At 44.1% G+C, this 22,046-nt stretch overlaps 1 protein-coding gene across 9 annotated transcripts in view; it reads left to right on the top strand.

Annotated features, from left to right (window-relative positions):
* TENM4 (teneurin transmembrane protein 4) overlaps positions 1-22,046 on the top strand; it is a 788,202-nt gene that overhangs the window by 615,120 nt on the left and 151,036 nt on the right. For all 9 annotated transcript variants that reach the window (XM_047426739.1, XM_047426737.1, XM_047426736.1 and 6 more), the window contains 3 exons: positions 11,516-11,617; positions 13,595-13,789; positions 20,419-20,619. In XM_047426739.1, the coding sequence (XP_047282695.1) occupies positions 11,516-11,617; positions 13,595-13,789; positions 20,419-20,619 (498 nt within the window). The remainder of the gene's footprint in view (positions 1-11,515; positions 11,618-13,594; positions 13,790-20,418; positions 20,620-22,046) is intronic.

The following is a 22,046-nucleotide window of genomic DNA, read 5'->3' as shown; positions in this document are numbered from 1 at the left end:
TGCTCATTAGATGGAACTCTCTAGCCAGCAGCTGAGTTGAGTGTTTTACACTGATTTCTTAAGTAATTTGTCCCAGAGACAGACTTGACATGAAGTTGGCATTATGATCAGCCGGTCACTGTGTGGGAGCAGCAAAAATGATTATTCTGGATCTGGCTCTTACTCTTACTTGACCTCCATCTTGCCCAGAACTGCTTTGCATTTCAAAAGCCTGTATATTCTTTAAGAGCTATTCAAATACTACCTCCTGGAGGACCAAGCCCTCCTCTTTGGAACTGGTCCACAAGCTCTTTTGCATTCTTGGGTAGTTTAGATCTTTCTGCCCCCTCTGGCTTGTTTTTTACAGACTTGTGTGTAAAGTCTGTCTTTCTTCCAGACGAGCGGTTCTCAAAGCCCCAGCCCAAGGATATTATCATCACCAGAGACCCTACCCCAGACCTATTAAATTGGAAACTCTGGTGGGTAGGGCCCAGCAATCCATGTTTTAACAAGCTTTCAGATGGCTGACAAGGATAAAGTTTGAAAATCACAGAGCTTATACAGGAGTAAACTAATATTTCCTGAGTATCTTTTATGTACCAGGTGCATATATATGGTGGTTTTATTTTTCACAACTGTGTAAGGCAAATAGTTTTCTCATTTCACTAATAAGTAAACTGAGACTCAGATACAGTGACTTCTCCAAATCACACCCTCAGAAGTCACACGGTTGGAATTCAGACCTAGACCGGTGTAGTGACTCTAAAGGCTAAAGCCTTCCCAGTGCTCCTCGAGAATAAGGACTATGCTTTGGATCCTCCCTCCTGACAGCTTTAACACAGTGGAGTCAATAGAGACTTGATCAACAAATCAATATTTTTGTCCAAGTGTGATACATTTGCGAGTGGCTGGAGCAGCATTTTGATTTTTGAATACTGGTAGGCATGTTTGAAAACCAGAGTTTCAGTTAACAAAGCCAAAATAGATACCAGTTGGAATGTACTGGCCCTGGCAGCATCCTCTGCAGTAGTCCTGACTCTATAATTGACTAATCTACAGGCAAAAGGAATGGGATCAGCATGTGATATAGTTTAGATGTGTGTCCCCATCCAAATTTCATATTGAAATGTAATCCCCTGGTGGCCCACGCCTGTAATCCTAACACTTTGGGAGGCCAAGGTGGGTGGATTGCCTGAGCTCAGGAGTTCGAGACTAGCCTGGGCAACATTGGTGAAACCCCATCTCTACTAAAAATACAAAAAATTAGTCGGACGTGGTGGTGTGCGCCTGTAGTCCCAGCTACTTGGGAGGCTGAGGCAGGAGAATTGCTTGAAACCGGGAGGCGGAGGTTGCAGTGAGCCGAGATCGTGCCACTGCACTCCAGCCTGGGCAACAGAGCAAGACTCCACCTCCAAAAAAAAAAAAAAAGAAAGAAAGAAATGCAATCCCCAATGTAGGGGGTGATTAGATCATGGGAGGAGATTTCTGAAAAGGGAGTGTGTACTATCCCCCTCGGTACTGTCCTCATGATAGTGAGTTCTCCCGAGATCTGGTCATTTTAAAGGGTGTAGCACCTACCCCCACTCGCTTTTGTGCTCTTGCTCCATGTGATATGCAGGCTCCCACTTCACCTTCCACCATGCCTCTAAGCTTCCAGTGGTCTCCCCAGAAGCAGATGCCGGTGTTATGCTTCCTGTACAGCCTGCAGAACCATGAGCCGTTTAAGCCTCTTTTCTTATAAATTACCCAGTCTCCAGTATTTCTTTATAGCAACATGAGGACAGACTAATACAGCATGCTTTTATTTTTTTAACCGGATTGGCAGTTGTGGTATGGTAGAAGAATCCCTAGGTTAGGTAGGAGTAGAAATCCAGATTTTGATACTGGCCCTGTCACTTATTAGCGGCATCAACTTAGGCAAGTATCTGTGCCTTCATGTTCTCATCTACGAAATGGGAAAGAACACTTTCCCTTCCTACATACGGAACTGTTGTAGGAATGAAATAAAACTGTATGTGGAAATACTTGAAAAACAAAAAGTTCTGCACTTATCAGCTATTATCAAAGCCTCCAAGCTATGAAGTAGATCCTGGTGACGTGCCAAGGTAAATTAGTTTTTTCCGTTGCAAGGGGCAAAACACAAGCAATCTCAAGGAAAAGCTGATGTGGCAATGAAGTCGTTTCTAAAACATTCCTATTGCTGGGGACGAAAATAGGCACCGAGAAGCTTCTAGGAATCCGGGCAGCTCAGGGGCCTTTCATTCATTCATTCTCTTCCTTCATGGGCTTCACTGCTGGTCTTGCTGCAGTGTTCCCGCCTCTTTCCAGGCTTCAGCTCCATTCATGAGCTTTCTCTCCTCACTCAGGACTGCTTCCTCTTCACTTTGGTTCCACCTTGACCTTAAGGACCTCACCAGCCCGTCTCTTCCTATCACACCCCTTGGCTCCTGCTCCTGAATGCTAAGTTCCCTGGGTACATTTTAGTTCAAATACTAGAGAACGGGCTCTTATTGGCCCGGAACCTCTGCCCAGTGGGCTGTGTCACAGAGCACCGTTCAGCCTGTGCCTGAGCTTGGCTTGGGTCAGGTGCTCAGCCGGGTCCAATCAGCTGTGGGCAGTGGGAACGGGGCGAGGTGTTGTCTCTTGCACCTGGGCCACCGCTGGGCAGGCGCTGAGGCCGGGGCATTGCACTGGAGCTGCTGTGGGTTAAGGGTGGAGGGAAGACGAGGCATTTCCCGGGAGCGCTCGCCTCTCCTCAGAAGGGCCTAGTGCTCTTGAAGAGCGCGGCACTTGGCTGTCTCCCCAGTACTTGGTGTGTGTCTCAGTGATCTCTCTGGCACGTGCTCACGGGGCACCGCTGGGAGACGCAGCAGAACAAGAGCCCAGAGTGTGGCACTGGCATCCGAGAGCGCTGCTGCCAACAGCCAGGAAGGAGGCTAACCTCGGGGCCGCTTGAGGCTCCCATCAAGGGATGGATGATAATGCGATACTGTTATCTCAGGAACCGCAGGGAGGGTTAAAAAGTTAAGGTAGCTCCTGAAATGAGCAAACGTCTCCCCCTCTGCCCTCTGCCCGGCCACGAACATGATGACTTCTTCTTAATTTTAACTTACAGTTTGTATTGGTTGAAGTAATAAAATGTAAATCAGCCCTTAGTTCCTATTTCTTGTCTATTGTTTTTCTTTTTTTAAAAAAAAAATTTTATCTTAAGTTCCAGGGTACATGTGCATGACGTGCAGGTTTGTTACATAGGTAAACGTGTGCCATGGTGGTTTGCTGCGCCTATCAACCTGTCATCTAGATATTAAGCCCCACATGCCTTAACTATTTATCCTGATACTCTCCCTCTACCCACCCCACAACAGGCCCCAGTGTGTGTTGTTCACGTTCCTGTATCCATGTGTTCTCATGGAACATGACGATTCTTTTCTCAGCTTTTTCATCTATATGTATCATTTTCTAAGTCCTGACAATTCAGGTTGATTCATCAGATCACAGGAGGTTAGACCTGACCAATCACTAAAGCCATCCACTTCACTGGAACACTTCCTGAGCTAGAGTGGATTCTTAGTAAATATTTACTGAATAAATTTTATAAATTTTGTAGATGAAAAGAAAGGCCCTGAGGAGGAAAGAATTTGATCAGTGTCACTTAACAAGTGGATGGCAGGAGTAGGACTAGAACCCAAGTTTCTTGAGACAGTCCAAGCAAGTTCCTTTACACCATGACTCACAGAGTCATAAGATTTCAGGCTTGGAAGATGTCATACGCTTCATCTTTAATACCCCCTGCAGTATCCCCACTAGTCATTAATTTGCTCTCTCCTTGAATACATCCAGCGACTGAAAATATATGACTTTGTAGATCACCTAGGTCATTCGTTTTAGTCATTCAGCTAACAAACATTCATTACCTGCTTTGAGTCAGATATTATTTGCCAGAGATCCAGAGATGAATAACACATTTCCTGCCTTCAAGAAGTTTACAATATTTGGGCAGATACATACATGTAAACAGAACGTAACCCAATGTAGTAAGTAGTATTCAGCTCTGACTCTTAGAAAGTGAGTAAGTTGATTCTTCTTTTGAACCAAGTCTGTTTCCCAAGGACTATAGTCCTTATTCACTGGACCCTGGTCAACCTATTAGGGCCACAAAACAAAGTCCTTATTTCACCTGATTACGTTTCAGATATTTTTAAACAGATGTCATAACCCCCTTAGTAAGCTGAATTTTCAATTCCTTCAAGAATTCTTTATTTGAAATGTGGTTTCAAGTTCTTTAATCTTTCTGGTTGTTCTTCAGTGAACACGTTCTAGCTTAACTCATCAGTGTCTTAAACGTGGCTCCCAGATGTGAACTGCTGAACTCCAAATATGGTCTGAGAGTACAATGTGGAATTCAGCTTCGTATCACTGTTTATTCTAGGCATTGTAATAAAAAAATAGAGGCAAAGGAAACAGTATGTTTCTTGGCCACCAAACGCCTCTGGAACCTGATTATTGTGGCATCCCCACTTCTCTGACCTCTTTCCTCTATTTTCCCCTTGTATTCCTGCTTTGTTTATCAATACAATAAATATTATTGAGTTCTTGGTTTGTGTTTAGCAATCACAAGACTCTTTGGAGAACCAGACATAATGGCTGTGTTGAAGGAGTTCACAGTCTTATTGGTAAAATTTGGTTTGTCCCCAAAGAAATAATTAACAAATAGCCAAGACTGAATATAATAAGGAAACAATCTTTCTCCTAGACCTTTCCTTAGAGCTGGTCTTAATAGTGGTTGGTGGACTTCTGGATATGACTGAAAACAGATCTTCCAATTCAAATGTTGGCACAGAACTGGCTTCAAGCCCAGTCTGTCAGGGGCTTTGTCAAATTTTTGTCATTGCATTGACCTAGACTGTTGTAGACTGAAGGCCTTTGAATTCCATCGTCTGCAAAGAAAGCTGGGACATCCATAGGGACCGACACATCACAGGCCATGGAACAGCTTTCCAGCACCTGGCACCTGCCCAGTGCCAATCTAGAGTGCAATGGGAGAAAACTTCTTTCAGATGTTGGCAGGAGCCTGCTTGTGTTTGTGCTTCTGGGAGACAAGTTTAATTTGCTTTCACAGCGCTTTCCCCCAGGAGAAAATTTACTCAAACACCCTGCCTTCTTCACATTCAGAAGCATTGCTTGTTTGTTTTCCAGTTTTTACCATGGGGAGTTTCCATGTGTCTTGTGTGCCTATGTGTCTGTGGGTTTACCCCCCAGAAACCCACATTTCCTTGTTTGGATTCATTTGACCAAGTCAGATTGTTTTTTAATTCATAAATGGAAGACATGTGTGACCCTTCCTTAAAACCAAAATACCAGCTCTGCCAGGTCCTGGGCCAACCTCTTTACATGCACAGCATCACCCTATTTGGTCTTCAAAATAACTCTCTGAGGTGTGTGTTACTGTTCACCCCATTTCACAAATGAGGAAAGTAATGTATAGAGATGGCTTGTCCAAAGGCATCTAGCTAGTAAGGGTTCCAGAGCCCATACTCTGGTCCAGGCCAAATGCTGCAAACTTTGGCTGCATATAGGACAGGTTCACCTACCAGATTTTCCCCTATCAGCTGTGTGACCTTGAGAAGGTGACTTCATCTCCCATTCTCTATCTAAGACTGTAAAATGGTGACATAAGTACCTATGTCTCATAATTCTTATGAAGATTAAGTTAGAATATATGATTTGCTTTTCGCAGTTCCATTTCAGGGAATGAGAGGGTCTCTGTTGGACTCTTCCTTCAACCTTGAGTTGCTGTAGAATTAAATCCCAGCTATGCTATCTAGTTTCCATTTCTTCTTTTTGGTTGCTAATAATAAATCCAGCCCTTCTATTTCAGGAGCAAAGGGGATGAAATAGGTGTAACCTGAAGTATAAATGTCACCAGCTGCAGTCAAAGTGATATATCCAGGTGGCCATCCTGGAGTTCAAGCTCCTTCTTGCCTGTAGCATTATCATCCATCCTCCTCTGGGGAAGCCAGGAGGAGTCAGAAGGTAGATCTCTGGCAATGGGTATACCTTGGTACTTCAACCAGGTGTTCCCAAAGAGTTCCTGACAACCACTTTTATAATTTAAGGAGACAACAAAAACAGAAGGAGATATTAGTAGTAAATGCAGGCTTCTATTAGCCTGGACATATCACAAGGGAACAAGACATACAGGAGCTTCTGGGAGGGAGGGATAAAGTGTGGGGTGAGCAGAAAGGAGAGAATGAGAGTGTCGAGTGGGCCTTGACCTCATTCACAAAGCTGGTTCCTTCTGTCTTTGATGCTGGAGTCCGGCATCAAGCTCGCACGTCCACAGAGGTTTGCCCACTCAGAGCAAGGCAAGAGGCAGGTATGCCCATGCCATGGTGAGCTGACAGAGGAGAAAAGCTGCCTTCCCTTTACTGATATTACTGCCCCTGTGAGACAGTTAAGGAGGCAATTGGGCTGTCCAGGTAGTCCTCCTAATAGGATTTTCTTCTGTGGTCTCTCCTTGTTTCCTACAAAATGAGGCTTCAGGATTTTAGAAAGGAAAACCAGAAGGATGCAAATGAGGGCAGACTTTCCTCAACATCAACCCTGGACTCAGGAGAACTTAGTTATCAGCTGTGATCATCTTTCACCTTGACATAGCTGCGCTAATGATTTGTTTCTGAAAACAAATCAGGAGTAGTGAACAGTCAAAACGGGCACCGCAGTGGGTTCCCTGAGGCCTCTGTGGGTTCCTGACTCTCATGTCTCCACTGGGAAGAAGCACTGTTGTCTTTTCTTCCTTCTGCAGTTGCCCCTTTGTATTTCAAGCAACATTTTGTTCAATATCCAGAGAACACTCCCACTCACAACACATGTCCAGAGAATGAGCTAAGGAAACACTTAAACTCTGCATTCCAATACAGATGAAAGGAAAAACAAGTTCCTGAAAATCATGTATTTTTTTTTTTTTTTTACCAGGACCCACTGCTGTGATAGAAAAACAAGCTGGGGGAAAGGCCCCATTTTCCAACATGCCATATACCCAATTATGAAAACCAATTATTCATAGGCTGCTGAATTTTTAATTTGGATCCAAGCAGATCTAAAGGCACACCTTCTGCTAAATGAAGGCAGCTGCAGTGTGAACATGAGCAAAGCAGGAGAGACTGTGGGGGAAGAAATTCACCAAACACTAATTGGGAACATCCACAGTACTTACGCATTAAAGTTCACACTTTTCCCAAGCCAAAGAATATCATTTCTGCCCTAGAATGTAGCACAGAGATACCTGGTCAGTGGAGACTCATTATTTGTGGGATCCTAACTGAACCTCAAGTTGTTGAAATCCCTCCAAGTGGAAGAAAAATATATACATAAGCATTTTATCAAAAGAAAATATTCTCTATATTTCTCCTTTCCATTTCCTTGTTGCTATCTTAAAATTATTTCGTGTCTCCCAAAACTTCTGCCTTCTCTAACACCAGTAGCCTGGGGCAAGTTTTGTAGCAAACAGGCTTCTATGCTGTCAGGTTTAGCAACCAACACTACACTCAGTCACAGAAAATATGCTTTCGTCCCTTTCTCACTATGAAGGCTTTTCGGCAGATGATAAACAGGTTGTATCTTGCAGACTCCGGAAATCAGAATCTAACAAAGTATATAACACTTATCTGCAGTTGATCCTGTTAAAAATGCAACTTGTATTTATAGTAATTTTATTAGGAGCTATACTTTATACCATTGGGTTTGAGAAGGATTGAACCATAGAAATTTAGATCTGGGAGGGATTTCTGAGCTCATCTAGTGGAATTCTTTCAGGAGTAGAAACAAATATTTATTGAGACCCTCCTCTGGATTGAATACCAGGGCAAATACATAAATGAGTAAACTCAATTTCTATCCTCAAGGAGTTCACAGTCAACAATGAAACCTATATGGTATTTTAATAAGAGGGAGGGAAAAAGAGTTCTGGAAGTAACTTAGCCTGTGTAAGATGTCCAGGCCTTTCCAAGGAGGTGGCATTTGAACTGGATTTGAAAGAAGGAATAGAAGTTGCCAAGCAGGAACGTACGGTAGGAGCAAGTGCAATAATGAGAAGACAGGTACCGAAAGATCATGTGACATGGCCAAGGGTTCACAACCACTCAGTAGCAGGACAACACCTGGAAGCCAGGCCGTCTGCCTTTCTGTTCTATACTCCTTCCTCAGCCCTGCAGGCAGGACTGTCTCTCCAATTGTACAATTAGCCCAGTAGCTTAAAGTGGAAATTATCTTGCCTTAGACTTTACTCAAAATTTTAATTTTTTAAAAGAATATTCAAAGTGAAACTTCCTAAGTGGTTCTTTCTGAAAACAGTGTTTAGGAATCCACTACTGACTTAAAGGTCTTGGGAACATGGATTCTTCCAAGTAAAGCCAATGGAGAATAGAGATCTTCAGGTCCCCAGCCTAAGCCTTGCTCTGCTGGGACCCAGACCATTTTGCCCTGAAACGAGGCCACGTGTTGGATTAGACCTTCTTGTTCTTAACTCTGTGTTAATATAAAGCACTGCTTGTGTTAGCAGAGACAACACTGAGTGAGTGGAATTGCCCACTCACTAAAGGAGCCACACATTTGGACCATTTTTCCAAACTTTAAAAATAGTTCTTAAGTTGACACTTTAAGACCTTGAAGAAGGACATTTCTTGAAAATGCATCTGCTATAAATGCCGCCACCTCCACCTATATATCACCAAGCCATTTTTCAAGCCCACGTCCTCTGAGAAGCCTTCCCTCTGCTAATTTTGCCCCATTCCAGCTGCCACAGTACTACCCTTAAGTGCTATGCTGCATTTAAGTTTTGATGCCCTTGTCTAGATGCCTTTTCTCCACCCTTGATCTCTTAATTAATTATAGACTCATAGAATTTTAGAACAGGAAGCAGTTGCAGGGAATCATCTCCACCATTGCCTTCATTTCACATATCAGGAAGGTGAGGCCCAGAGAGGGGAAGGAAGTTGCTTTAGGTCACAGATCATGGTACTAAGAGTAGATCCCAAAACTAGGTTTTCTTACCTCCAGGCAGAGCTTTTTCTATGCCTCATGCAACAGTTGACTTATTATTTTATTCTCCCAGTTAAGCTGCAAATTTCCTATAGGCAAGGCTTGTATCTAATGTAGTAACATTCATTTAACACAGGCCTAGATCTTGGCTTCATGACTTATAGTTGTGAGCTAAGACAATAGACTGCCTGCTTAACTAACCTTTTCCTTTACTTTCAAATCTGACTCTACTGGTTCCCTCTGAGACCTCGGGCAAGTCACTGCCCTTCCTCTGGGTCTCAGTTTCCTTCTGTATCAGATGAGATCATTGGGCTGGATGTCTCTAGGATCCCTCCAAGCTCTGAAAGTTATAGAATTCTCTATCCTACAAATAGATCCTTTGCTGCCTTCAGGATGGGCTTCTCTGTCCCACTGTTTGATCCAGTGAACCCATAGCTAGAGTCGCCACAAAAATAGAGGCAGGGAAGTGTTCCCATGAGGGGGTGCCCCAAACTATCCCAAGATAGGGCTGGTTGGGATTGCAAAGAAAGAAGCACTAAAAGCCAGGTTGATCTGTCCAAAGCATTTATTAGGGGAACTTACAGAGTGCTGTAGCAATTCTCGTGCAGACAGCAAGAGAAAGGGATTTTCTACCTAGGTATCTCCATAGCAAGGTGCCCAGGGTATGGAGTTTATATAGAGATTTAAGGAGTTTGGCTCAAGGCCAGGGCTAGTTTCTTTACTGTTTGGGGAAACAACCTAAACACCTTTTTCAGTACCTGAGAATGTTCAAGGCTTCAGCGTGGACTCCAGCCTGCAGAAGAGTTGCTAATGGCTGTGTCAGTCACAGAGCGGTCAAGGCCTGTATTTCTCAATCAGGACACAGAAAAAGTGGGAAGTTGGGGGATCCTATACCGATAGATCTGCCTTGCTCATTTCCCCAGATTCTGCTGTGGAATAAGTTCCTTCAAGATCCAGATAGCATAGTGTCATGCAGCAAGGCCAGGCGTGGAGCCCGAAGGCTCGGGTTCCAGTCCTTGCAGTCTTGCCTCTTTGATTTAGTATCTGTGGCCTTCCACAGGTCACTTCATTTCTCTCAGCCACCTGTTGGTTTTGTTTTGTTTTGTTTTGTTGTAAAATAGGAATAACAATATGTACTTGTCAGATTTGGTGACCGTGAAATGAGATAAATTTGTGGAAATACATGGCACAAAGAAGGCATTGGCATATAGTTGCTTCTGTGCCTCATTCCACATCCAGCATTATTGAGAAATGAGCTGTTCCAAATAAACACACATTCTGGATAATAGGTTTACCAACAGGAGCTACAAAACAGTGCCTGACTTTTGATTAAAATCTTTCTGAAATTGATTCTATATTTTCTTGACCTGTCACACAGAGCATGTAACAAACGTATTAGGAGGAGTTAGAGAAAGGAACATCTCTGCAAAAGGGGGGCATGACAGAGAGCGTGTCTGGGGATGCAAGTAGTGCAGAAGGAATAGGAAAGAAAACTTTTTTTTTTTTTGAGACACAGTCTCACTCTGTTGCCCAGTCTAGAGTGTAATAGTGCAATCTCGGCTCACTGCACCTTCCGCCTCCCAGGTTCTAGTGAGTCTCCCACCTCATCCTCCTGAGTAGCTGGGATTACAGGTGTACACCACCATGCCAGGCTAATTTTTGTATTTTTAGTAGAGATGGGGATTCACCATGTTGGCCAGGCTGGTCTCAAACTTCTGACCTCAAGTAATCCACCTGCCTCAGCCTCCCACAGTGCTGGGATTAAGGCCTGAGCCACCACGCCCAGCCAGAAAAGAGAACGTCTTTGTCTCTGGAAAGGACTTGGATTTTTTTCATCTTAGCAAATGGGGAGCCCTTGAAGGGTTTTAAGGAGAGTGATAGGATCAGATTTGTTTCAAAGAAATAACTTAGGCTGATGGGTGGTGAACACATCAAGGTGAGGAGCAAGAGGGAAGGCTGAAAGGCCTGCCTCAGGCTGGTGTAGTGGCTCCAGTGAGAGACGGTGGGGACCTACATGGATATATGAAAAGCCAGAGGTGGGAAAAGACAGATTTGTAAATGCTCAGTAGCTTTATATCAAAACAAAGTATGGAATATCAGCCCATTCTGAGAAAAGCATAAAATACAAAAAGTATAAAGAAGACTATAAGAATCACCCAGTAACACACCACCCAAAGAAAACCACTGTTAACAGGTTAAACTGTTCTCTCTCAGTGTTTTTAGCTGAAGAATCTCTAATGTGTTTGTAGATACAAATTTGATTTATAAAAATTTGGTTCAGGCAGACATTTTCCAGAACACTTCTGCTAATGTCAATTGAACTGTGCTTCCATAAGAGTAAAAATAACATAGAATTTTAACTCCATTCATTCCTTTCAGTGACGGGGCCACAAGAGCTCAAATATGTGGGTCTTGGCTAACCTAAAGCTTGATTCCTGGGCTCTCTGTTTGGGTAAGGAAATTTGTTTTCAACTCTCCTTCTCCTTTCTCTCCCCAGAGTCGGTGGATAACTGCCCCAGCAACTGCTATGGCAATGGTGACTGCATCTCTGGGACCTGCCACTGCTTCCTGGGTTTCCTGGGCCCCGACTGTGGCAGAGGTGAGAACTCTGCATTGGAGCTCTGGATTTCTGCTTCCCAGACCCCTCAGGCAGCTCACTTCTACTTCTCAGAGCAAGTGCAGAATCCAGCCCACCTTCTGATGCCCACGAGAAGGGTTTCCAAGGGCCATTCTCCAGAAGCCCTTGGAGGGAGGTGTGCAGGCAGAGCCATAACCTTGTCAGCTGCTGTTATCCACATGTGGATGATCGGGGAGGTCAGGAAGGGAGGGTGAATTCACTGTGGGGTGGCCACAGTGAAGTCAGTGTCTGTTGCTGGGGCAGGTGGAGTGGCAGTGGGGGTTCTTTTAAAACGTTGATTTCCTCTTATAGCAATGATCGTCCCTGGCCGTGCATCTTTGAAGTTTATCTTCATGCTAGTGTGATGTCTCTCTGGCCTGTAAATGGGGAGCCTGACGACTGCTCTGTTGCTACTTTCTAACAGCACAGGCAGAATCAGCCAAGACCCCAAGGGGAGGGACTGAGGAGGCCAGGCCACTTTTTTCCACAGAGGACCCTAATGGTGCCTGATATTTAGACACTGCCAGTGCCCATGATAAACATTGTGGAGATAGTCTAAAAGCCTGCCCACGATCTATCCCATGCTTTTGGCCATCATTTCTGTCCTGGAATAATTAACAAGGAAAGTGTCAAGGAGATCTGCAGTCCTGATAATTTGGCACTCCCCTGGGAAACTAACTTGGCCCCTTCTTTTGTTTTGTTTTTTTACCTTTTTCCCTTATTCAGTAGCCATTTGCTTCATGCCTTTTTAGGGATTGGTCCTGTGCTAGGCAAGACCCAATCCTGGGAGCGCTGAGTCTGGTCTCAGAGACAGACAAGTAAATAGACAACTGCAAAGCAGTACGATAGTAAGTGAAATACGCTATAACACAGTTAAATACAGGGAGCTTCTATCAGAGTAGAAGGGAAGAGCAGTCTGAGAGTAGAAGGGATGAATTTCAGGAAAGGATTCCCAAATGAGGGTGACACTACACCCGAGTCCTGAGGCTTGAGAAATTGTTCATAAGTAGAAGGCAGAGATGATTTTCCAGGCTGCGTGAACTACACCCTGCAAGTACTATGCCATGAGAGTCTGTTTATTCTTCCTAATGTGAGACAGACTCAGTTTGAGGCAGCAAAGCTAGCAGCCCCAAGGAAACACAGTGATTACCTGCTGAGTGCTTTAAAAAGGAAAGAAGCCAGGTGGGGACCAGGGGAAGGTGGTGCAGAGAGAGATGAGTCATTCCTTCTAACAAGAATTACCGTCTCGTCCCATATGCACTTAAGAGTCACGTGTAAAAAAGCCTTATTGGATCTTGATAAGACTGGTAAGTACTTTCAGCACAATGCAGTATAATTTATTTTTATATAGTATCCTTCATAGAGAAGATCACAAAATCCTTTACTCTAAGAGGCAGAATGAAAAGATAATACTTTAAAGAGCCAAGTTGGGCTCTGCTCTCTTCTTAAGGGGGCAGTAGAATATGGGGCTGGAGTGGAGGACTGAAAGGCAAGGGAAGCTGAGATTTGCTGGGTTAAAGAGGACAGTAAGTGGCGCTGCAGATGAGGTGTGGGGAAGTGAAAGTGGAGTGTTATTAGAGGAGAGCGCTGGAGGAGGGATTCAGGGCAGGCAGGAGGCTCAGCCACTGGCTTTTCCAGTGAGATGGAGGAACAGACTGAAGCTTCCTGTCTGAGGTTCCTGGCAGCCACTGTACCCCATCAGCAACATGAAGGGGATGGGGTTAAGTGGATACCTACCCTGCCAGGCCCTGCACTGTGCACTATCACCTACAAATCTAGGTGTGTTTAAACTGGAAAGAAATAAAGCAAGAGAAGAAGACAGATGGGCACACATGGGTGTTTGTGGCAGAGCAGTTGAGGCTACTGGTGAAGCCAGGCAGGCCAGGAGGAGAAAGAGACAAAGGCAGTTGGGGTGTGCTGGACATTGATTCATGCCAGACTCCGGTGCTGTCTCCCCAGCCTCCTGCCCCGTGCTCTGTAGCGGAAATGGCCAATACATGAAAGGCAGATGCTTGTGCCACAGTGGCTGGAAAGGCGCTGAGTGCGATGTGCCCACCAACCAGTGTATCGATGTGGCCTGCAGCAACCATGGCACCTGCATCACGGGCACCTGCATCTGCAACCCTGGCTACAAGGGCGAGAGCTGTGAGGAAGGTAAGAGTTGCAGGTGGCAGCTCCGGCACCTTCCTCTGAGATAGAGGCTGGCATATAGTGCCAAGAGGGTGACCAGGGAGCAGGGGAAGCCTCCTGAGCCATTTTGTGACCCCACCTCCCCAAGCCAGGAGCCCACCCACCAGCAACAGTAACTAATCCAAAGGAAGAGGCCAAACACATCGGAGTCCTGGTCAATGAAGGGGAGAAATGTCATGTATTGAGCACTTACCATATACGGGGCTGTGCTAGAAGCCTCGAGTCATGTAATTCAAACCTTATTAGGGAGGAGTAATCATCTCTACTTTATAGTTGGGGAATCTGAGACTCAGAGGGTTGAATAACTTGCCCAAGGACACATGGCTAGTAGACAGCAGAGCTGAGTTTGAGCCCAGTCGTTCTGGCTCCATAGCCCAAGTTCTTTTCACTCCCCTCTAGGCTCATCTGCTCATTTTTAATCTCCATTTCTGAAGTGTGATTCTATTATAGGCCTCCAAACTCTGCCCTCTTTTATCACACTCGTGTGTGTGTGTGTGTGTGTGTGTGTGTGTGTGTTCATGTGTATGGCTCTGCAGTGCCCATGAGCATGCCTCTCCTTTATAAAATAAATATATGGCTGTATAGATTGAGGCTGGAAAAGTGAACTGTTGATTTAACACTGACATCTGTTCTTTGCTAGGAAATCCAACCAAGTGAAATAAATGAATATTTCTATCTCACAAATTAAGAAACTGAGGCCCAGGGAAGGGCAGTGACTTGCCCACAGTCATAGAACTGACTAATGGCAGAATTGGGATTCAGCCCAGGTCTCACTTCAAATCCAGGACTCTTCCTTCTTGACTGCATGGTGTTTCCAGCTGAGAGGAAGAGCCTTATTCGCAAGCAATGTAAAGTAGCTGTTAAAAGTGCACACTCTGGAATCAGATATAGGTTTGCATCCTGGCCCTGCCACTAACTAGCCTCAGTTCCCTTGTCTATAAAATGGGAATGGCTTCCTCTGAGGGCCATTGTGAGGATTGAATTAAATGACCCATGTAAAGCACTTAGCTCAGTGTCTGACACATAGTAAACGCTCCATAAATGTGAGCTCTTATGTTATTAGTATTATTCTGGGGACAATTGAAGCACATTTCCTGTTTCGCCCCACTCACTTCATCCAAGGTCTTTTTAAATGGTTGGAATTTGCCGTTTGAAACTGACGGATGATGCTGTGTGCCTGTCATTACCTCCCATTCTCTGCCATCTAGCACCCTGGCACCTTCCCCAGTGGGTGGAAGAGGCTCCAAGGAGAGCTGATCTTCTAAACCATTTACTGTTTAACAGAGAGCCCTCTCCCAGGCGTCATTTTGCTCTAAAAATAAAACAGAACATTAACAGGCCCATTTTCAAAGAGTGGGGAACAAGAAGAGATTAGTGTCTGAAAAGCATCGCCTCTCTGAGACAAGCTGTATATAAACCCCAAGCGTGGCTGGAAGTCCTGATTCAGACCTGTTAACTTTGATGGGGATTACTTTGGGCTGTCTGAGAGAGAAGGAACGCCAACCCCTTTAACAAAGGAACTGGGCCTTTTTATCCAGAGAATGGTGACCTTCATCTGCTGTCCCTTTTTATTCGAGTCACTTGAGGTGAAGACCCTGAGAAGGAAAGAGAAACAAAGAGGAGATTCCTCTTGAAACTGTGAGCTGCCTCCAATCCCACCCATGTTGTGTGGGCCAGGAAAAGGCAGTCGTCCTTCCCCAGATGAGCTGGCATCGCACAGCACCCCAGAGCTGCAGTGTTATTTATAAGAGAGAAAAAAATGTCTGGAACTTTGATTTACGTTATCTATTTGAAAAGAAATGTTCTTACTCCAGCTTTCTTTTCTGAGGAGGGCCATCTGGTACTGATTCCCATTATTATTTCTGTTTCTCTGGTGAAGCGTCATTGCGTTGTCCTTGTGTTTATAATGGGGTTTTCTTGGGGCCTTTGTCCTCCACACTTCTCCTCCCCTCCTCCCTCTGCTCTATGCTAACTGGTTTCACTGTGTTTATAAAACATCAGCTAACAAGCTCACTTTTTTTTCTCCCCCTTCCTTCTTCTGAAGTTTATTGCCCCATATTTTTTAAAGCTTGAACGCAGCCAGTAGGACACTGGGAAGGAGTTGGGGGAGGAGCAGAAAAGAAAAAACCTAGACCTTTCACAGTGAAAAGTGAGACCCTGTGTTTTTGGTCCTGCAGAGTGTCTAATAGCTTGTGTGGTCACTGAAGCATGGCATTTTTGGGGGAAAGACCTGTGTCCGCAGCCTGGTCATGCAGGCCTCATCATTTTGTTAATGGGCTATGCTTCTGCCAGAAATTTGGCTTGAATGGCAAGCTCTGCAAGGGGAAAAAAGGTAACTATTTGACACATCTCTAAGAGGAAACTAAGTTAGGCTGTCTTCCAGACAAAGGCCAGCCCACCTCCCTGACCATTGCTCCTACTCCTTCATCACCACTCCCTTCCACCCCAAGCTGGCCGCTTCTCCCCACTTTACACACAGCTCCTTGGGAAATCACCATTGTTCCTGAAGCTGTCCCAGTGTGATGGAAAGAAGCCAACTTTAATCACCACCCCAGAGGCTCCAGGATGCAAAGGCAGAGGCAGAGTCTACCTACCACCTCTTTGGCAGAGCATCATTGTGGCATAGATACTGGCCCTATAGGATCAGTAGAGCACAAGGACAGTGTCTGCCCAGCCCCAGCAGGAACCTCAGCCAGTTCAGCCTAGATTTCTGGGAGCTGCCTTCCCTCCTGAGATGCAGTCTTCCTTAAAACTTCCCTCCTGCTCCACAATAACTTGACCCAGTTGACCTTCAGAAGCAAAGATTAATTGCCTGGAGGTAGCCTCTCGTCAGTTCCTTCTGATCTTTGTTCTCTGCCTGGGCCATCTGCTGGGAGTGTAGGATTCACTTTGCTGGTTCCTAAGTCCTTCCTTAGACTCATTACGTCTAAGGAAGCACACGCCTGTGCCACCCAGAGCCTCTTGCTGCACTTGGCACCCTCCCAGCCTGCTTGCTAATGATGGGGATTTATAGGTTCGACCTCAAGGGTGCCCTGGGATTCTCAGAGACAGTTTCAACCCAAAGTTGAGGTTCAGGCACTTACAGAAAAGGAAATACCTTTATTGGCCTCAGGATAGGAATTGCTGAGTTGTTTCCTGTCAAATTGGAAAGCTCTCTGGGTCTAGGGGATTGTCACAGAAGCCTAATGGGCCAGAATAATCCTTCTGAGGTTCCAAGATCTGAGGCAGGTCATGAGAATTTATCACAATTATTACATTTATTATTTTTAATTATCAGGCATTCCAACAGGTCATGCTCTAACCATTTTTGAATGGTGTCAGGAGACTGCAGGAGAAGAGATTCTTTGCCTTCATTTGACTTCATTAATCCTCCACATTGCTCTATTTCTTTTCTTGTTTTGATTTCTATTTTTAAGACATTTTTTGTGTTTATGTAAGTATATATGCATGCATGTATTTCTGAACCAGTAAGATTGTAAGGGGAAATGGTAAGAGGCCTAACCAGGAAAGGGTGATTCAAATTTAAATTCTTCCATTTGCCATACTACTGTGTAATCTTGGGCAAGTTATTTAACTTCTCTGTGCTTTCTGTTTCCTCAGCTGTCAAATGAACATGATAAAAGTAGCTACCTCATACTTACATTGTTAGGATTAAATGAGATAATGTCCATGAAATGCTTAATAGCAAAATATGGCAGAGAAGAGGGAATAAGTTAATGTTGATTGTTATTGTGATCATTACTGTGTTATTACCAAATGATCACTCCTGAACCCCGATCGTCTTATTTATCATTTAGGTTATTAGGTTGAACACCTTTAAGACCCTAAATAGCAAAATAACTTTCTTAATAAGCTAGTTCTCAAAATAAATGTTCCCAGAATATTGCCATTTGTAAAGTTTTTGCCCATTTGTGTCTGTGACTCTTACCTACCCAGCCTGGGTTTCCCAGTCTTTTATGTAAAAGTCAAATATACCAGGTTACAAAATATAATTAATGAATACATTTAAAGGATGTCTGAATTAAAATGAGCTCTGACCATAGTTTACCCCAAGCTATGCTACTGAATGTCCTGATAGGATAGGAAGATAACCTCTTTGCAACAGTTTATACGGTCCTTTCAAATCATCATGTCATTTGCTCCTCATAGCAACCTGAGAAGTCAGTAGTCAGTATCTTTACCATACCTGCTTTATAGATGGGAAGCACAGAGCAGTTATGTAATTGGACCATGGACCTAGAACCAGTACATTTTGTCCCTTGACCCTTGAGGCCAAATGGAGAGCTTTTTCTTCTGCAGCATAGGGCTCCCTAGTGAGTTCCTATTAGGAGGGGCCTGACCATACTCATCACAGTGTCATCAGCACCCTTTCTCCAACAGCTACATGTTGCCCCTTCTCCCCAGGATACCACCGTCCCCTAACAATTATAAAATGAATAGCATCCCTACCTCCCTAAAGAGAAAGATAGACCTAACAACTTTTTGGTAGAGAAAGAACATGAATCGACCTCCTTTACCAATCCTGTCTTCTCTCTGCCACCTGTTGCACTTTCCATATGAACTGGAGCCACTTCAGTTAATTCTCAGTACTCTTCTCCTTTTCCATGCAGTGCTTTGCAGAAGATTAGAGGTCTCTGTTAATGTTGTTGTAGCCCCATAACTAAAGCTTTGATTAGGGAAAGTCAGCCCCTGATAGAAATATTGGCCTCAGGATCAGACAGAGCTGTCTTCAGATTCTGGATGTGGAGTAATTGGAACCCTTGTGCACTACTGGTGGGAATGTAAAATGGTAGAACTACTATGGAAGACAGCATGATGGTTCCTCAAAAAATCAAAAATAGAATTTACCATATGATCCAGCAATTTCTTTTCTGGACATATACTCAAATGAATTGAAAGCAGAGTCCCAAAGAGATATTTGTATATCTGTGTTCATAGCAACCTATTCACAATAGCCAAAAGTTGGAAGCAACCTGAATTTCAGTTGATGTATGAATGGATAAACAAAATGAGGTATGAACATATAATGGAATATTATTCAGCCTTAAAAAGGAAGGAAATTCTGGCCGTGCCACAACATGGATGAACCTTGAAGGTATTATGACAAGTGAAATAAGCCATCACAAAAAGATAAATACTGGATGATTCCACTTACATTAAGTACCTAGAGTAGTCAAATTCATAGAGATAGAAAATAGAATGGTGGTTGTCGAGGGCTGAGGGAAAGGGGAAATAGGAAATTGTTTAATGGGTGCAGAGTTTCAGTTTTGCAAGATAAAAAGAGTTCTGGAGACAGTGGTGATGGTTGCCCAACAGTATCCATGTCCTTAACACCACTGACTTGTACACTTAACAGTGGCTAAGGTGGTAAATTTTATGTATGTGTATTTTACCACCATTTTAGAAATCAGGAAAAGAATTCCTCTCTGGCAGAGTTTAGCTGTGTGATCTGGCATAAATTATTTACCTCTCAGAGCCTCGGTTTCCTCATCTGTATCTCACTGGGTTACTGAGAAAACTGAATCTGATAGTGTATATAAAGTGCTTAGCATGTAAGCACAGAGCAGATAACCCACAATGTTACTCTCTCTTCCCTCTTTCTGGATTGGTCTCCTGAGACCACTTTGACCCTTGGCCCTGGGAGCACTAAAGGGCTGCCTGGCTGTGAGCCACCACTATGTGACTCACCTACCACATGAGGAGAAGCTGTGCAAAGTCAGCACATATTGAAGTGTTTGCCCTCAGGAAAGTGAATTTTTTTGTCTTTGTTTTGTTTGTTTGTTTTTTAGAGACAGAGTCTTGCTCACTGCCCAGGCTGGAGTGCAGTGGCACAATTATAGCTCATTGCAGCCTTGACCTCCTGGACTCAAGCAATCTTCCTGCCTCAGTCTCCCAAGTTGCTGGGACTACAGGCGTGTGCCACCATGCCTAGCTAATTTTTTTCATTTTTTTATTTTTTGTAGAGACAGGATCTCGCTGTGTTGCCCAGGCTGGTCTCAAACCCCTGGCCTCAAGCAATCCTCCCACCCCAACCTCCCAAAGTGCTGGGATTACAGGTGTGAGTCACCACACCTGGCCAGGAAAGTGAAGTTTGAAAGTTCATATCAATCTCAAGAATTTGGGGAAGATGATAAAATCTAATGGAATTTAATTAAAAATAAATTATCATTTAAATGAAGGAATCTATTTTAGTCTCATGCCTACAAAAATAAACCTGCATTATGAAGTGATAATAAAAGTTCATTCTATGAAGACTTATTAAACACCTCCTGTGTGCTAGGCAATGTTCTAGGAGGTGGAGATTCAGAAGTGAATGAAACAGAATCTAGTAGACATGAAGTGCTATGCTGATGCTTGAGACACATTTCTTACTTTGCCCCACAAACGAAGTGGTAGGGATTTCTACCTGGGTGGAGTTGGGAAGCCAGGTCTGCCATTTGCCGCAGTACTGCTCTCACCTTACTAAGTGACCTATGCATCCTTCTGCCAGAATGTATGAAGCCCCTTGGCCACAAAGCTAAGTAGTTTGCTTAAAGAAGCCTCACCTTTGCTGGTCAGATGCTTACCTATGTTCTCCTTCCTCCATCTCACAGTGGACTGCATGGACCCCACATGTTCAGGCCGGGGTGTCTGCGTGAGAGGCGAATGCCACTGCTCTGTGGGATGGGGAGGCACCAACTGCGAGACCCCCAGGGCCACATGCTTAGACCAGTGTTCAGGCCACGGAACCTTCCTCCCGGACACCGGGCTTTGCAGCTGTGACCCAAGCTGGACTGGACACGACTGTTCTATCGGTAAATGCAGGGGGAGAAGAAGCATGGGTAGAGGGAGGGGATTTCCACTGTGACATGGTCACCAATCACGTGACTGTTCCCAATCACGTAGCAATGCATTCCCCGTGCCTCTGAGTGCTTTTCCTCTTTCTCTGAACTCTAGCCTTCAACACCTCTACTCTTAGACAAAGAGAGGATTCAAAAATTACATCCTTACATCATTCCTTCCATAGTAGTGGCCCTGAGATTCAAAACTACCCCTTAACAATGGAGCTTATAATTACAGATGTGTTTCACCGAACTCTCATCTCATGTTAAGACATCATCCCTGGAGGCAAGGCCATAGGGAAAGTGTACCTAGGTAAGCTCTGTAGGGGTGGGCCTTATAGGATAAATGTCCCAGCCATCAAACCCTTCAGTTTCACCCATTTCTCAGAATGAAGTCCAAACTCAGTGTAGTGTTTAGGGTTCTTTGGGATCTGGCCCCCACCTGCCCTTCTAGCCAAATGCTCTGTTAGTCACTAAGCTCCATGAGGGTAGCAAACATGTCTTGTTCACCTCTGCAGCCCCAGGACTCAGCATGGCCTGACCCACAGCACCTGCTCAATAAATAATGATAAATGAATGCATGAACACATGATTGAATGTGTTCTTGATTGTGGCATTTGGTTCATCACAGGGTTTGTACATATAAGGTACAAAGGATAATTATGTTGGCACCCTTCTGTTTGAAAACACTATGATTTACAGGTCCTTTCAAAGTGAAGATTAAATGGGAACATACGTGAGTCACCTAGCACAGTATAGGTATATAGTGGGTTATGGTCACGTCTCATCTCTCATTTAATCTGCACAAAAACCCTACAAGAAAGCTGTCAGCTATCCATGTTTTACCAATTTACATAATACTTTAAACAGCAAATACTTACTGAGCCCCTACAGTATACCAGGCACTCTTCTAATCAGAGAGGATGGAGACCAAAGAGCCCCTGCCTTCGTAGAGTGTGCATTCTGGGAAAGGGGAGGGGAACAACAACAACAAAATGGAGATAAGTGAACTGATAAAGAAGCTAAGGCTTGGAAAAATTTTAAGTGATCCTGCCCAGGGACAAAAAGCTAAAAAGTGATAGCATCTCCAGCTATGCTTTTTTACTCAAAATCATTTTCCTCGGCACTCCACGCTGTTTAAACAAAGTGAGTATCAGATTAGCTCATTATGTTGTGTATTAACAGTTCTGGTTGTGACCAAGAAAGATGGCTGAGACCTTTGGCAAAAATGAGATCCATGTAGCATTCATGCCTTTGGGATACTTTGAATTACCTTTCCCTGTTGAATAGAGAATTGATGTTCAATACACAGTCTAAATTGGACTTTTATCCTTGTTTGCAAAGCTCATGTAAAGGCATGATTGTAAGCACAGATGTGCAGGGTCTTAGGAATAATTCTT

The sequence above is a fragment of the Homo sapiens genome, chromosome 11 (assembly GCF_000001405.40).
Source record: "Homo sapiens chromosome 11, GRCh38.p14 Primary Assembly".
In the NCBI taxonomy this organism is placed as follows: Eukaryota; Metazoa; Chordata; class Mammalia; order Primates; family Hominidae; genus Homo; species Homo sapiens.
The sequence above is the reverse complement of the archived record's forward strand: the minus strand, read 5'-3'. Positions and strand labels throughout refer to the sequence as shown.